The following is an 18,528-nucleotide window of genomic DNA, read 5'->3' on the forward strand; positions in this document are numbered from 1 at the left end:
ATGCATTCACAAATATTTACTGATCCCTGCTCCATGTCAGTCATTGTACCTCTGATCCATTTGGGCTTGTAAATCTGTGTATGTGATACTTGGAGATGTTTTTGCATACCTAAAATGAGACACCACTTAAGAGATTTAGCTGTTGATACTCGAACCAGTGAAGACAAAGCTGGCAAATACCTCCCTAAATAGGAAGGATATGTATTTAATTTGGAAAATGTCAATTTATTTGTTACCCTACACAGTAAGAATTAGATATCTAGAAACAACTACAGGTATGAAATATAACTGTTGAAATGTGTGCTTCTTTTAAGAAACTCCAAGAGCTACGTGGAAGCATGTGTTGTTTTCTTGTCAGTTTTCCTTCTCATATGACATTTGCTCCTAAAATACCCAATTTTTTTTCTGCCCAGACCTACACACCCAACCCACTTTAGCTGTACCATCCTTAGATTACTATGTCACAAATTTTACCTTGTTTTGAAACTGAAGTACAGTGGCTGATTTTGCTATTTTTGCATTTATTTGCAAAGCTGAATTCTAGTAATTACCAGCAAAGATAATCGTTTTGCACAAAAAGAGGTATATTTCTATCTTGAAACTAGGTTATATTGTTAATGCCACAGAAAAGGAAATGGCTTTTTCAGAATATTAGCGTTTGTAGCTCTTGCTTATTGATAGGGAAAAGTTAGTTGCCATAGTGATCTAACAGCCTCTGGAGGGAATGCAGTCATGGCCTTAAGCATCCGGCAACCCACCCAGTTGAGAGAGCCCCTCTGAAAAGGATTTCCTTCCATGGAAATTGAGTTTCTAAAATAAAAAGAGTTTATTTTAGCTTAGATTTGCTTATAGGTTTGTTTTGCACTTTTACCTACTGGAATTAAAGGAAAAACATTTATAATAAAGACAGCATATATTTCTTCAGGGATGACATTAAATAATAGATTTTTGTGTTAACCATTCCATAAATGTGCTCTCAGACACACAAAATGACCTTTATACTTTTATTCTTGTGAGCTATGGAGCTTAAAAGCAAACCACTTCAACCAGATGTTGATCCAATAAATTTATCAATATTTGGGGTTTTTAGAGTTTCAGTATATATTCTTAGGTAGAGGGAACTTTCATGGCCCATCAAAATCTGCTCAAGCTGTGCTGGGTGAAACAGCACTCATCTATAATACTCATGTAACATGAGCCAATCTGCAGTCGGTTGTTCTGAATTCTACATCACTCACAGCGCAGGTTGATGTGTGAACACTGTATTTACAGGACCAAAACTGCACATTTGCTCTGCAGCTGTGTTTAACAGTTATCAGTTTGGCACACAGCATGACTGCTTTGGAGGGAGAATAGACACTTCTCATCCCTTTTGGCATTTATGAAGTAACCAAAGTACCTACTGCTGAAGTGATTCACTTGAGCTTAATTAGATTTGCTACATAATTAGCATTTGAAGAAACCTAAAGAAAATCCTTGGGGGTTGGTTATTTGTTATGTCAATTGTAAGCATGCTCATTTGGGGGGGACTAGGAATTGAAAATGATGAAATTTAATGCACCATAAACCCAGATGTATTATATGCATATATAATTTTTTGAAGAGTTTTTAAAAGCTGTGCTTCGCAGGGATGACTGAAATGCTTGTCTCAGACAACTGAGACCTGTGCAAGGGGATTGATCCATCAGCATGTGCCCATGTCTGCTTGATGGCGCTTATGTGTGTACAACTAGCTTTACACCTCTCATGAGAGCCCACAGCTCTTTAATAAACACCCCAGTGCCAGCCGTGAGGGCTGTGCCAATAACCACCACTTGAAGCTGGAGAGTGCAGTCTGAGACAGTGAGATCCTATACTGCACTTGTATTTACATTTTAAGGTTAATTTAATTGCAATGGCTTGTTCTGGTATGTGTTGCTTTAATTGCAAAGAAAAAAAATGAATTTAATTTTATACTCGAGACATTTCTTTAAATACTCCTGAAGTTTGTTCTTTAGTATTAGAGTTCTACAAAGTGAATTAACTGTGGAGAATAGCTGTAAAATACTGAGAGGAGAGGTTAAATTTTATATTCCAGTTTAAGTTAAGGCTAGGATAAAACTTGTAAACTATGTTTATGTAAAATATTTTCTAATCTGTCAAAAAGTTGTCACATTTTAATCAAATTACTTAGTTACCTAAATTTGTCTAGCCATAAATAAGGAAATAAATGAGAGGGAACAAGTTTAATTTATTGATGAAGCACTCTGATGATTTTTTTTACCCTTATAGTAAAAAAAAAAAAAAAACACCTTCAAACTTACATCCTACCATATGTTCACCATCAAATCTCAAGTCAGAATCAGGTTCAAATCAGAATTCAAAACCAGTTTTAGAACTCAAGTGGCAGCTCATGCCCTGCATGCAGGCAAACGGCTAGGAATTAATCAGAAAGTTCCACCCATGTCCATCCTTCCTCTTACTTGCTCATCTTCCCAGCAAGCACTAAAAAGAAAAAAAAAAAAAGTACAAATTCGTACGGAACCTACTGTAACTCTGATTAAAGAGATCCTGTATTCCCCAATGACCGACCCCCTAGCTCCCCCAAAAAGGAATTAAACGGCTAAGCTTTTTATAAATGTTTTTAAAATCCTTATTGGACTTGACATAAACATGCAGATAATTCTACTAGTCTCTTTTTCATAGGTACAATAATAGCACTAAGTACAGAATTCCCCTTGTATCCAAGCAAGACTTTTACGAAAACTTAAACCTGAAGTCTTATGCAGTGCACCTAAAATTAACCAGGAGCCTTGGTGCATATACCAGCAAATGTTGTACACCTGTGTGATAGTGGTCACCTCACTTAACCTCTCCCAGCTTCAGTTTCTTGTCTTTACTACTACATAAAGTTGTTGAAAGGATTAAAGGAGACTATATAAACAGCTATTTTTATTTATGATTAAATAATATCTGTGTGGTTACTATTTAGTCTGGGTAACTAAATAGCTGGGTTTTTTTGTTCTTTGTACACATGCACATATTCCTTTTTTAAAACAGGCATATGGGCAAATACATTTTTTTTCTATATGCCTCCATGTTGTTTCTCTGGATTTCCGCCAGGATGGGATGTGCCAATTATGCACGGAATTGTTTGCGTGTCCATGGGTGCTTATATAAGTCATTATCTTTGGTGTATGACAAATACACAAACTCCTGTATCTCTAGTAGCCTGTAATTCCTAATTGAGGGACATGATTGAATTTATGTAGTTTAGCCCCAAGTAAGTAGATAAAAATTATTAAGTAAATGCCCTGGTTCATCTAAACAAAATATGTGACTAATAGCTTTTTATATGAACTATATACATTTAGTTTACCTAAGTTTATTAATAAATAGTATCTCTGGGCATTTTTAATTTTATATTTTATACTTAACTATGAAAGTATCCAGAACCAGATTCCAGTCACTAACTACCTCTTCATTAATGGATCAATGGTTTTATCAGATTTATTAGAAATTTGTCTATACTGAGCATGTAATATGTACTTTGTGAAAATAGGTATAAAACTGGGCTCATCTTATCAGCATACCATTTACCCAATTATGGGAGTAAAAAAGGAGGCATGTGTATTTTTCCCCTAATTCTGAAATGTCTCCCAGTTCTTGAAATTTGAATGTGAAAATGTGTGCATGCAAATTAAGACATTCAATCTGAAAGACTTCTTTGTATAAAATACTAACCAAATTTAAAGTTGAACCATAGGGTAAATATAGTAGAAAAGTATATTTTGAATTCTGAATTTTATTTCCATTGGATACAAACAATAATTACAATTGCTAGATGTGTTTTAATGAATAGTTTGAACTCATCATGCTAGCAAAAATCATCTGCATATAAATAATAGGGCAATTTCAAGCAATTTTTTCTTACTTAGGTCAGATATTCCTGCCAGAAACTTGTTTGCTTTGTTAATTTGTTCAATTATTAAACTTTGAGAGTACAAAGATAAATTTACTAATGGGGTTCAATTAACAAATTTCTGATTACATTTCCCTAATGATGATAGTATAGAACATTTATTTCTGCTGTGCTTTATTAGTAAAATTGCAGTGATCTGGTGACTGGAATTAAACTGCTGAAAAATGACTTGGTCTGATTTATTCACTGAGCAAAACCAAGCTTTAAAGGCTGTGTTGCTATGGCACCCAAGATTAACTGTTAAAAAAAAAAAAAAGTTTAATTTTAGTAAAAACATTGGTACATCTCTTTTGGCATTGTGTAGATAAAAATAGATTCCCCCCTCCCCCTTTTCTTGTCTTTTTTATGTTTAGCAAGTCCTTTGCATTCTTTTAAACATACACTAAAAGAAATTTAGCATATTTAAAGAGAAGGGAAAAAGCAGTAAAATAAAACTGTTTTATCAAAAGATTACAATTTGTAAAATAGCAAATATTTCAGTCATCATTTTTTATATGTATATATATATACTTTTTATTTTGTCTAATTTAATCCTTTCAAAAACTGTCTGGCTTCTCATACTTTTTAGAAAGATGGTGCCAGAGAGGGAGAAATCACTCTATTCTGGTAGTTTCGTTTTGTAATTAGTCTTCAAACTTAAAAACAGGTTGCAAAATTGGGACAGTAACAAGTTTTAGGAGAAATCTTAATGTAGCTCTAATCTTTCAAATTCTAAAAGAATATGTTTTCTGTTTCGTGAGACAAAAGAATTGTCTGGTTGCTTTAGCCAGGATTGATTTCTGTCTTCAGAACACCATTTGGTGGTGTTAAGACTGCTAGATGAAGAATTTTGTGGGAAAAAAAAAAAAAAAAGAAGAAAAATTGAATGCTTTGTATGATCATCAAAAGCCACTTTTCAGGAGTATTTTACATTTCTTGGTGCCAAGCAAATCAGAAATCCTACCTTACAGAGAGCGATTTGTTCATGAGATGACCCAGTGCTGCAAGTCGCTTATGTTTATCATTATGCTTCCACATTCTAAGGAAATTCCACTTTCAAACGTTGCCGTCAGTGCTTTCTTCTATAGGAAGAATTTGAACTATAAAATTTGAGAAGCTTCAGCGTCTGTGGAAATTTGAGAGCATTGCCTTTTTTCCTCTTTATTGAATGTAAAGTGTTTTAACAAAAGCATGGTAGCCCAGTACATTTTAAATGTCAAAACTTGCACATAGTGTATCTCATAAAGAATTTAAATTTTAGACTTTGAACTTTTAAAGCCTCAAACATCTTTAGAGGCTGACTACAGCAAATAAACAGAATGTTTTGCAGAGAGATTTAGTGAAGAAAATTTTTTTTTGCCGTTGTTTCTCACAGTGCTCTGCAGGTGAAAATGGTGAGGAAACTTTGATAGTTCAAGACTATGCAGGGGAGAATTTGAAAGCAGAAACAAGCTTTTACAGATTTTACCTGGAAAAACAAAGTGGTTTATATGAGGTGCTAGTTCTTACCTTTATGATTGCTAATTTAGATTTTATAAAAATTGAAATGAGTTAATATTTTAAAATATTTAAGTATGGTCTCTGGACAACAATAAGCACAGTGTACTTTTTTAAAAAGTGACTTTATGTAAGATTATAAATTACAGAAATGAGTTGTCACTTCCCTGTTGTTACTTATTTCTGATTTTAAAATAGCAAAATTTATAAAGCTATAGTTTTGAGAAAATAGTAATTCATATTCTTAAAATTGTTATAATCTCTAAATTAATACATAAATTATTGATTTAATGTTAAATTTTGATTTTAAAATTTATTTCAGTTTCTATAGGTAATATATTGAGGTTCTGACAATTTTATATTAATGTATGATTTTATTCTGACACAGCTGTTGAATTTGAACTACTAATTATTTCTAAGAATTTGTTAATACCATTCTCCAACTTTGTTTTAGGCAGCTAGATTGTATCCAGGGAAACCCATTTAGATCAGAAATAACATTTCGTTCTAACTTCAAAAAATAAGCATCCACTTTAAAAATGGAATCTGAATTTAAATAAAAATCCTAATTTAGGATTCAGTTCCATTCTTTAACTAGCGGAAAGAAATCTTAGCAAAAAAAACCAAAAAAACAAAAAAAAACCAAATTTACCAGATTGCCAGTAATTTGCATTAAGGAGGAAGAGATGGATTTTTTTTTAAGTCAGCAGGCATTGAAGATAGTTCAGTGAAGTTAAGTAATAGAGATCTCAGATTTTAATTTAGTCAAGATTATGATTTTACATAGAAGCACTGTTGAAATAGGCTTGATAATAATATTTTAAGTGTTATACAAATCTGGATGAAATTATATTATTTACTGTCTTACTCATTGGTTCAACTGTGTTTTAAAAGTGAGAGACCTTATATCAATGAGTGTTTGTTCTGTGCATCTCATGTGCATGGTGTTAACAAAATAAAATAAGCATACTTCTAACATTTGGGGGAGCATCCTATTAGTTTGGGGGTAGGTTAGGGACTCTGCTTTCCAAATAATTAATTTGATAGATCCATGCTCTTGAAAAATTGGGTACATACTATTTTTAAACTTTATTTTTCAAACATGATATGTATTGTTTAAAGCATTAGCTTAAATGAAAAATAATATTTTACATTCGTAAAGTTCTGTTTATTTAATTCAGTAATGAAATTAATTTGGAGTTGTTGGCATACTGCCTTCACAGGTTTCTGTGACTCATTTGCTGAGAAAGTGTGATTCAAGAGACCAGAATCATTTTTTTCTCATTTGCTAAAACTCATGTTTTGACTATGGGCAAATGTTCATGGCAGATTTAAAACAAATTTAAAGTAAATATTCTGTGATAATATTTGGAAGCTGAGTGATGTCTAGCCTTACATAACTAGGACAAATATAAATCTGTGAGTTCACGGACTTCAAAAGTATCAACTATACATCATTTTAGAATACTGGTTTTGTTTTTCTCATATTCTTAGAGTTTAACTCTTATACTACTAATTATGACCTCTAGAAGGTAATTGCATTTAGAAGCAGAATATCTGCTGTTTTATTAATTTAATAATTAAGGACTAAATGGTGTTCCAATTTAGGTTTAAAAGTAAGCACATTCACACAGCATTTAAAACTATTTCTTAATGTTTTTTTCCTAGAGAAGAAATGATAGCTCCATGATCGCTATATGTTCTGTTCAATACTCATTATATTTATAATTTATATTACATATATATTTATCCATTATATTTATAATTTAGTCCTGTCCAAATAAAATATATTCTCATAGTTAAGTGTGTTGTGGTAGTATAATGATTACATGAAATAACCTGGACCTTGCTGTTTGCAAAGTAATTTAAATGTTTATTTTCTGAGTTGCTACTTGGAAATTAAGTTGTGGAGTGATGTTTCTCATTGGTCCAAGGAGCAACATAAAATCCTGATTTATCAGATAATCCTACAGGAAACGTATGCCTGTTTTGACTTATGATATGTTTCTTAGTACAATGTCCTGCTTTTCTGGCTTTCCATTAAATGTTTAGAAAAATTAGTTAATAGTTTTGCAGGAAAAGAAAGGAAATTTATCAGTCTATACCAGCTATATAAGAAGTAGGAACATATATAAAAGACCTATAATTTTCCGATCTCACTTTGAACTTTTCTTCACAGTTTTCCAACTCAAGATGGTATATAGTCTTGCACAATGGGCTGTAGCCAACTTTCCGTCAGAAGAACTGAGTAAAAATTATTCCAAAATTGTTCTTAGAAATAAATCTGAGCCTGGAATTGTCTTGCATTAAAAAACAAAAAGCAAATGATTGCTTTAAAAGCACACCAAATGATATTGGATGGTCTTTATTCTTGACTCTGTTTTTTAAAGTGTGTATACGTTCATTACATCCAGTTGTCTATTGGGCTTTTTTACTCTAACTTTTCGGAAGTTGACTGACAGGCCACTTTTCTATAGTGGGAAATAGGCACCTTGTGTGCGCGGAGGGATTTCCAGCCCCCGACCCCGGAACCAGCAATTAGCGTTTAGGCGTCCTGCACCCCACCAGGGGGCAGCACCGGACACTGCCTTTCCTAGAGGCCTGAGTGCATTTAAGGCTTTCTGGCAGTGCTCTCCACCCCTCTTCCTCATACAGGCCTTACGTATTTTTGGTATTTTCTTACACATTTTAGGCTTAGTAAGTGTTTAATAAATGTTAGCTGTTTAGGCATTGTGCTATACGGATGCTACTTTTCAGGTTTGACCGTTCTGTGTACCTGAATTTTGTCTTTAATGATAATTTGTTCTATTATTTAAAATACCTTGTGCTTATTATAAATATGGGATTCCTTTAACTTGTAAAATCTAGCAATTATTGAGCACTATGACATGTCAGGCATGAAACCAGGTACTTTTTATATGCTACTGCAGAATCTAAGTAGACATAGAGGCAAGATAACAATAGAGTCATAAAACAATATGAAACTGCAATAATGGGGAATTGTAATACTTCTATTTTGATGTTGAATAAACAGTATAAACCTCGGGGAGGTTAAGTCACAATGGAACAAAGATCCCTTCAGATAGAATTCCAAATTCCGTGCTGTATCAATTATATTATGAAACCTTGCCATAAAAAAAAAAATTGTTGAGGATGAGCGAAGCCACGATGTGTAATGCCTGAGACAGAGGTTTCAGTGATGTAACTCCAGTGACACTGTGACAAGGAGAATTAGGGATTGACATACTTAAAACTTGAATGGAGAAATAGGGTTAGATATTGAGAGATCCCAAGGAAACCTGTGAAAACCTTAATATATGTGTTTTTATGGACACATAATATGTAACATATTACATTCATCAAAACATGGGAATAAATTGACGTACTCTTAATTTTTAAAAGCCCCATAAATATATTTTACTTAAAACCGTAATGGATCTTATTCTTTTAATTTGTGCTTGTCCTCTCTTACCTGCTAGAAAATTTAAAGGTTGTCTGTCCTTCCTAATTTTAACAAGATACTTCATTTTCCAAAAATGAAACAAGACAAAAAGGTAAATTTGTTTTGTTTTGTTACAGAAAATAGTCAAATGAAGATATTTTGCCTGTGTCTGTGACTTTAATGATTTGGAATTGTTATTTCACATTGTTTGCTTTCTTTTCTGGCTATAATGTGCATAGCAATCCAGATGGCTAATATATAAACAATTGGAGTTATGCTTATTGGAATCATTTAGTGTGGCTTAGGAGGTTCCCACTACCCAGGACCATCTGTTCATTGCTCTGTGTATTACCTTCATGATCAAGTTTGTGTTTTCAGCTCCTTCACATATCTTAGCCTACACCTTTCTTTATATGTGAAAGAGGCTTCTAAGACTGAACTTAACTCATATGGCCCTCAAGGCTATATTGTCAAACCTTGATAATCCAAGCCTGCCTTCCACATTACCATTCTTCTTTATTCCTAATTCAATTTTTTCCCTTATCATTGCTATTCTCAATAGTAGGGTCTTAAAATTTGCAGAAGAGTGACTAAGAAAATGGGCTTTGTAGTCAGGTTCGAATCTTACTTGGCTGTGTATGTAGCGATTTGATCTTGGGCAACCTCCTTTATCTTGGTTTCCTCACCTGTGAAATGGAGTATAATACTGACTTCATGGATTTGTTAAGATGGTTAAATTAGATAAAATATAACTCATTTAGCCCATGCCTGGTTTATTATTAACATAATTTAGAATGAAAATTCTCCTGTTGCAAAAAGGCATATTCAGAAGTAAATTCAAATACTATATTCTAAAATTTCACAGCGTCTTTTGGAAGAAATAGCTACTTTTCTTTAAGCACCTGTCATATGTGCTTTCACATTGCCAACAGAATATATGTAGGCGGTACTAAATTGTTGTTTTGGGGTTCATTTTCAGTCCTTCTTACTGGATCCTGGGTGCAACTTTAGACCCCAAGTAGCTAGAGAAAAGTTTCTCTAGGTGCCTGTCGTCTCTGGTTACATGTTACACTATAATCTGCTTTGGAGCCTCACAGCCACATATGTTATTGTTCCACGTGAACTGAGCCAGCTTACATACACAGCTCTGTGGGGAGAAAGACCATAAACGAACACTCCCCGTTTCTAGCCCATATTCTGCATAATACATGTAAGTCTCTCAACAGCCCTGTAGGCTATGCCATTACTTAATTCCCAATTTATGTGGCTTACTTTTTCTGAATGAAAAGTCATCAAATATGGTTTTTAAGTTATGGAACAGAAGAATATGATTAATCTGAATTGTCATGAAAATTCAGGGCACATGGTTGCTATGGTTATGGCGTCATGTATTTATAATGGAGAGATACTTTGTCTTCATTAATCTACAAACTTGCCAGTGGGATTCGGTATTTTTTTTCTGTGTGTGTGTGTGTGTTTGTGTGTGTGTGTACATACGTACGTACGTACATGTATACAGCTTCTGCATGAAAACACTGAGGCTGAACAAGGTGTTCTGTTTTGGTGGTAGTGCAGAGAAACATACTCACACATAAATTATTTATATGTGAACCAATTCAGTGAGAAGTAAGTACAGCTGCTTAATTGACCTAAGGGTCTTATTTCCAACTGCTTAAAAATAAGTGTAAAGTGAAGTTCATGGAAGAAATAACTTAAGGCTCTTTAATATACTTTTGTTGGTGAAGAGAATTTCAAGCTGTTTCAGTCAGTTAGCATATATTCTTAAAAAGACTGATATCCTATTCGTAGTCTTCTCTTATATATCCTTGAATTATCTTCCATGATTTTTATATTTTATATACTTATAATAGCGTATTATAACAACTTAATGCTACATAATTTACAGTAATCGTTTCCAAATTAAGGAAGCCCTATGTGTAAAATCACAAATTTATGTAACATAACACAGGAACTTTTATTCATATAAGAAAATCATTATTCACTTTACTGTTTTCCTTTATTTCAGCATCATTTATTACAAAATTAATACTGTTTTCGAAAAACCAAAACAATATATTATAAAGCACAACGTGGAGTCTTCTCTCACCTCCTTGTCATTCCCAGCCTCAAAGGGTAACCACTGTTTACAGTTCAAGTGTGTCTTCACAGCAGATGTTTTTCTATGCTCGTGCAGACATATAGATGTATTCCTGGAAAGAGTGATGCTTGCATTCTTGAGGAGTTAGGAGCATTGCTATTTGAAAAAATAAAAATCCAGTTTGATGATGTTAGTCATTATGCTGAAAGGAGTGATTTTAACAAATACCAACAGAACTTCTTGTGGTAGGCCAGCTTTCCAAGTTACTGGTTCAAGAGAACAGTCATTTTATAACAGGTATAAAATCAAAGACGTTTAGTAAAATATTTTGCCCTTAATTCTCCATGGATAGCTTGTTTATGAAGAGTTCAGTATTCAGGGAAGATGGAAAAACAGCCCAGTGTCAGCTAAAGTAATAAAACCGACTTAATCCCAAATTGACAATTTAAAGCCCTTTAAAATTACTTGTTGCAAACAAGAAATAATCCACCCAGTCTGTCATCTCTTTTCAGCTTATTAGTAGTGGAATCTCTTAGGTGGCTCTTTAAACCGTGTGTATTAAAAGTCCTAAAGTTGTTCGTGGAGATTTCCAGTTGCTAGGGAATACCAACACTTATTTGGTGTTTGATATTGTAAATCATGATAGTTATTGGGGCCAAAGGGAGGTCTGTAAATGTCCAGTAGGTTCTCTTTGGAGCTAATTTGTGCTGTTTGCATTTTCTTTCTGCCCCAATACACTTGTCACTGGAAGAAATCACACAGGGGGTAGGGATAAAGCATGAGGTATCATGATTCCTTCATGTAAAAATTTTGCTCAAATTAAAATGTGAACATAGTATAATATGTAAAAAAAACTGGACCTCCTTAAATCCTTTATAAAGCAAGGCAATGTGTAAACACATGAATAAATATGAAGGTTTTATTTTAAGTAATAGCTGTGAATGTTAAAAGTAATATTATTTTCCTTAGAATAGTTTAATCACATATCCCTTTTAAATTTTTTAAGCCTTTAAACGTTTTATTTTCAGTCTGGGCTTGGGGACTCACACCTGTAATCCTAGCAGTTTGGGAGGCTGAGGCTAGGGGATCACTTGAGCCCAGGAGTTTGAGACCAGCCTGGGCAACATAAGAAGACCTCATTTCTGAAAAAAAAAAAAAAAAAAAAAAAGAAAGGGAAGAAAGGGGAAGGAAGGGAAGGAAAGGGAAGAAAAAAACGAAAAGAAAAGGAACAAAGGAAGGCGTCGGTGATGTGCACAAGTGGTCACAGCTACTTGGTAGTCTGAGGTGGGATTGCTTGAGTCTGGAAGATCGAGGTTGCAGTGAGCCGTGTTTGCACCACTGCACTTCAGCCTGGGCGAGAGAGTGAGACCCTATTTCAAAATAAATTCAAATTTGAATATTTTACTTGAGTAACATTTTTTTTCTCCTGAAAATAATTTTCTACAGTGTTCTACTGTGGTTGAGGTTTTCATGTTTAAATCAGATCTCTAGCCTCATGGGACTCATAGTCTCTCATGGAAGACAGATAATTGGGCAACTACAATGGATTATGCCGAGTTCGGTGCTTTGGGAGCTCAGAGCACAAGCCCCTTCCTCATCTGCCCTGTAGGGCTGGGGAGGTGCTGTCAAGGAAGGCTTCCCAGCGGGAGTGATTCCTCAGGTAATAACCTGAGATTTGTACACACATCAGTCAGGCAAAGAGCTGTGGACTTGGGGTGTGAGTGGCCAGAGACCCAGCATTATCTGCAAAAGCTAGACTATGAGAGAGATGAGAACACAGTTAAGTAACTGATAGAAGTTCAGTCTGGCTGGGGCATGGAGGAATTACAAACATTTATTATGAAAGTAATACATGTGCATTGTATAAAATGTGAGAAAAACAGAAAATGAGAAGGTATATATTATTGCCAGTTTCATGCTGCAGAGTTAACTACTGTGAACATTTGTTGCATTTTTATAATTCTTTCCATTTATATTCGTAGAACAGCGTATTTGATATTATCCCAGTTTGGCTTAGACAATAGATATATATACAGGTATAAAATGCATATGCATACATGAAAACACATAATAAAACTGGGATCATGCGAACATGCTGTTACCTGCTTTTTTCATATTACAGTATACTTAAATATTTTTAATGTCCTTAGATGCAATTGTATTTTTAGTAAGTGAAATATTTTAAGTTGCACTATTTCATTTCTGTGAGTAAAAAAAATTCTTGAAGTTAAGCATCCTGACTCTGTCTGCAGGAGGAATGTTTCTTGAACCTAGAGGCTCCTATATCAAGAGTATGTGGTTATGACACACCATTTCCTCACATTTTTGAACCATTCTACATCCCAGACAAATGGAAGTGTTATGATGCCCTTCGAAAAATGATCAACTATTGACCATATAGGTAGGTATGCATCTTGAGAAAGCTACTATGTGCCCCTGACATTAACGTACTGTTAACCAAGACACAGCAATCATCAGTGTTTTGATGGTAACAAACTTTGATGGTAAAGTTGGTAAAAGGCAACTTTCAGAAGAAAATAATGTGCTTTAGAAAAAAAATTCAAATTTATAGTAGTATATTTACATTTTTGTTGTTGTTGTTGTTCTGAGATGGAGTCTCACTCTGTCGCCCAGGCTAGACTGCAGTGGTGCAATCTCAGCTCACTGCAACCTCCCCCCTACCCCTGAGTTCAAGCGATTCTCCTGCCTCAGCCTGCTGAGTAGTTGGGATTACAGGCGCCCACCACCATGCCCAGCTAATTTTTGTGTTTTTATTGGAGGTGGGGTGTCACTATGTTGGCTCAGCTGATTTCAAATTCCTGACCTCAAGTGATCCACCTGCCTTAGCCTCCCAAAGTGCTGGGATTACAGGCATGAGCCACTGCACCTGGCTATATTTACATTTAATAGAAACATATCTAGCATATGTATATGTGATTTTTTTTTTTTTTTTGAGACCGAGTCTCACTCTGTCACCAGGCTGGAGTGCAGTGGTGCGATCTTGGCTCATGGCAACCTCTGCCTCCCAGGTTCAAGCGATTGTCCTGCCTCAGTCTCCTGAGTAGCTGGGACTACAGGTGTGCACCAACATGCCCAGCTAATTTTTTATATTTTTAGTAGAGACGGGGTTTCACCATGTTGGCCAGGATGGTCTCGATCTCTTGACCTTGTGTTCCACCCGCCTTGGCCTCCCAAAGTGCTGGAATTACAGGCATGAGCCACCGCGCCTGGCCTGTATATGTGATTTCTAAAAAATAGATGCATGCATATGTTAACATTGAATAGTCAATCACTAGATGAAGATGCTCTCTACCATGGTTTAGATTGCAAGTGTACTTTATACCATTGTTTCAACTTCAACCTTTATTTTTGTATATATTTTTTCAGCTACTTAAACTGTTCATGAATAGGCGTACTTTCTGTATTTAAAAATGGCCCCTCAAGCACCGTTAATTTACATTCCAGTTATTTACATGATAATTCATGACATTCTGAAACTTGCCTGTATATTATCTGAAAAATGGATTTCTTGAGCAAAAGATCTGTTTATTGTATGTAAGGAAAAATTTTACCTGAAAACAAACAAACAAACCCTAAAACTCAGCACCACTACCATTTCCAGAAGCTTTTTTAACAAGTGAATATTTTTTACATAATGGATAATAAATGGTATTTATTCATCATGATTTTCTAAGTAATGCTTATCAGCCCCTTCAGTGGTGTTATTCTAACAAAATGAATACATTACAAATTATTAAGTTAGCTTTTCAGAGTTTTAATATAGAAGTTACTAGCACTGACACACTGATTTTGAAATGTTTCAAAATGAGTAGATATGATTAGATCCTTTACCTTTTAATATCTAGTTTTTCCAAAAATGATAGTAATATCTTTTGAAGAACTATGCTTTTTCAAAAGCAAAATCAACTCTGTATAATAGCACATTCTCTACTTTTTAAAGATCAGAAATGCTAGAATTCTTGACTTTTGTGTATGGGTAGTAAATCTAGCTCACTGAAAATCAGAGTGAAACGCCTTTACATTTGTGCGGATAGAGAAGTTAACTCTCCCTCATATGTCACTGTGCTACCATAATCCCTACATTTTCTGTCTGTTCTAGTCTAAGAATATTGTTATAGATGGAAGTTAGGACCATTAGCCCACAGATGCATGTATTCTCTCAGACATACCGGTGTAGATGCTATATTTCTGATGTCTTCTTAATGTCTGTGAAAGCAACTGGCATCTACAATAAATCACACTTAGAGCTGGTTAGAGGACTCCTTCACTTTTGTTGTCCATGTGGTTCCCTTCCGTGGACCAGCCGTAATAAAGAGCCAAGGTAGTGATGGTGGCCACGTGCCTCGTTGCTATTTTTAAAGTAATATTCAGATGTGGTTTTAAATTTAGATTATGTATTCCTTTTGAAACATAAGAAAAACATTTAAACCTATGCTGAAAATACGATAAAAGAAAAACAACTCCAATATGCTAAAAGTTAAATATGGTATTTAAGAAAATAGTCATGTATGCAATTGAGAAAGTCTATAATTTATTTTACAGAAAAGCTGGAAGATTATGACTAGATATGGAAATATTTTTTCTGAATTTTTTTTTATATTTCCTCCGACTTACCTCTTTTTGAAAAGAGAGTTTTTATTAAGTGAACCATCACGATATTGGCTGAAAAGTTCTACATTCTATTATTGTATTGTAACACACATGTATTGATGATTTTCATTAAGAGTTTCAGATTAACTTTGAAAAATATTCCACATGGTAATCTTATAAATTCTGTTTAATTACATCTGTAAATATTATGTGTGTGATAGTATTCAATAAAGTAAAATCAAATTGTCTTTGGGTTGTATGTGTTCTTTTTTTTTCCTTTAGTAAAAAGTTTTTGTTTCAGAGTAATAGCTTGTGAATTGGTTAATTAAATCTGAATTAAAGTACAGTATTCACTATAGAAATGGTGACTTCTCAACTTTATTGTATTTGGTTCAGTTCTTTATGACCAGGATGGTTATATGTTGACAGAACTTCTAGAATGTTTCCCCTCATTCTTCCCTCTTGCCTGAACAAGGTGTCGTAATGAATGTACTCACCTCCCCAGTGTGTGGTGGGTGGTGAGGCAGAATTTTTCCTACTGCCTCTCTTCCGTGAGATGGACAGCCTAAGCCTGTCCATTACAAAACTGCCAAGTTTTAGCTGTAGCTGTAGTGTTTGTCGTGATGTTGCAAAGCAATTTTTGCCCATGTTCTTTATATTATTACTTGGATAAAAAGAAAAAACAACAGTAGCAACAACAGATGACTCTGACAGGAGGAAACCTCCTTATTGGGGACATTGTCCAGTCCTCTTGTTTCTTACTCTGCCTCTTCTGCCCTTCACCACATTTTAGACAAGCCTTAGCCTTTCTAAATAACGAATCCTCCAGCAGAACCCCTCATCCCTGACACACCTCCCCTCCCATAGTTCCAGAAGATTTCCTCTCATGGGTTCTAGGAAAAAGGTCTCTACCCCCATAAAGCAAAGAATGAGGGTTGTCATGTTTTCCTTTCTCTAGAAACACTGGAAAAAAGCAAAAAGAAAAAAAAAAAGAACACTTTTCTATAACTACAATTGTATGTGTCCCTTTAAAACTGTAATTTCACAAGTTGTGTCCTATCTATTTTTACCAGCAATTTGAAGGAGGATACAGAAGGTCACTTCTGTAGATTACCAGAAACTTGGAGGCAAAGTAAAGGCACTTGATCACAGAGTCTGAATAGCTATGATCTGAAATAATGAACCCAATCATTTGTAAAAATAAAACCCTGTCCTTGGATTAAAAATAGAAAAACTTGTACAGCATAGGAAGGGAAAAGATGTAGTTTGTCAGCAACAAGTTTGGAAAAGATTTAGGGAGTTCAGTTGGCTTACCATACAGAACATTCTGAGTTTAAGATGCCAAAACTCAGTATGGACTTTGGCTTTGGTCTTTGTTCTCCACTAATGGCTCAAAGCATCCTACAGGGAACTCTGCACTGACATGGTCAGTCCAGCAGAACAGGACATGTGCGGTGGTCTGCCACCTTGGCCTACAGTGGGTTGTAGTTAAACATACTGATTTTAGTGGAATTAATTTGTTATGGCTGTTGTATCTTTCTAATGCTATATTTTCTATTCATTTGGTATTTTAAGGATTTTCTCTTAGCTATTTTAATTTTACTGTCTTTAACTCTATTTTTGAAATAGCAAGTGTGAGAATAACTCTGAGGATGATCTATGTACTAAATGCCTGTATTTGAAAGCCTCTTTTCACCTCTAGTTAGCCCTGCAGTCCCCACAAGTAAACACTCCCTTTTCTTCCAATAAACCTTTACAGTTAACACTAAACTCAATCTATGGCATAAGACATACATACACATTTAATTTATTGCCAAAATACATTTTTGCATGAAAGAAAGAGTCCATATTATGAAAATAAGAAAATAGTGGCAAGAAGGCACTTGAGAGATTTTAAATGAATGCCAGGTCCAAAATCCTCCACTGCTCCCAGCCTCACATAATAATGTCTGCTTCTTGTGACAACATGGATCTATAAACTAATTTAATTTCTGTGGTTTAATGTGTCTGATTCTTTCAGGAAAAAATATAATAACTGCATTCTATGCAACTAATGGAATAGCTAACTAAAAGACCTGTGTACATTTTAAAAAAAAATGAATAAGATTCAGAACTTCTAGAATGTTTTCCCTCATTCTTCCCTCTTGCCTGAACAAGGTGTTATATAGCTAACTAAAAGTTCTGTGTATATTTAAAAAAAAATGAGGAACAAGATTCAGAAAATTATCTCAATTCCTTAGGTTTAAATCTCATCATCTAAAAATTCTTGGTCAAAATGTTTAGAAGACCCACTTAGAAGGTCCACATTTGGTTTCATGTAATCCCTTTCTCATCAGCTTGCCTAGAGTGGATACATGTGGTTTCTGGCTGCCTAGCATCCCGGCCTCCAACTTCTAGAAACAGCACTGCTGTTTGTTTAGAGAACTCCCTCTCCCCACCACATGTGGTTCTGGAGAGGCTGCCAATCCCAACACTGTGCAGTGTTAGCCACAGAGATGGCCCTGATCCAGACCCAGCCAGGTACCTCAGAATAGAAAGTGAGGATACCCATGCAGAAACAAAAAGTATTAGACTCAGCCTTGTCGATGACACTGCAGTCTAAAAGACTGTGTCTCAAATTTTCACCTGCTCCAAGTACACCTGAATCTACAACTGATAGCTGCTAACCAGCTAGGCACACAGACTATGTTACTTTTAGCAGAAATCTTTGGCCTGATGGATGAGGAACATGACCCCAAAAAAGTCACATTGGAACCTCCAGGGCAACATGAGATTTAGAGATCCTGATATACTTTAAACTTGGGCCATCAGGTTTGGAAAGCAATAGAAAATATTCATATATGGTTAAAGATTTAGAAACCCTGGCACCTCTCTGAATATACTAATTAGAGATATTTACCAGAAAAGTTGGAAATAAAACAGTAACAAGAATGAGGACAT

General features: G+C 34.8%; 1 protein-coding gene across 19 annotated transcripts in view; it reads left to right on the top strand.

Annotated features, from left to right (window-relative positions):
• Positions 1-18,528, top strand: part of BCKDHB (branched chain keto acid dehydrogenase E1 subunit beta) — a 360,067-nt gene that overhangs the window by 223,825 nt on the left and 117,714 nt on the right. For 8 of the 19 annotated variants that reach the window (NR_187564.1, NR_134945.2, NR_187561.1 and 5 more), the window contains one exon: positions 13,230-15,836. The exons of 6 other annotated variants lie outside the window; for them this stretch is intronic. Coding sequence is in view for 7 of the 13 variants with exons in the window: in NM_001318975.1 (NP_001305904.1) it covers positions 13,230-13,370 (141 nt within the window). In the remaining 6 variants the exon portion in view is untranslated. Of the gene's footprint in view, positions 12,207-13,229; positions 15,837-18,528 lie in introns of those variants that run through there. 5 more of the 19 variants (NR_187562.1, NM_000056.5, XM_047419207.1 and 2 more) reach the window with 3 other exon arrangements.

This window comes from Homo sapiens, chromosome 6, assembly GCF_000001405.40.
Source record: "Homo sapiens chromosome 6, GRCh38.p14 Primary Assembly".
Classification (NCBI taxonomy): domain Eukaryota; kingdom Metazoa; phylum Chordata; class Mammalia; order Primates; family Hominidae; genus Homo; species Homo sapiens.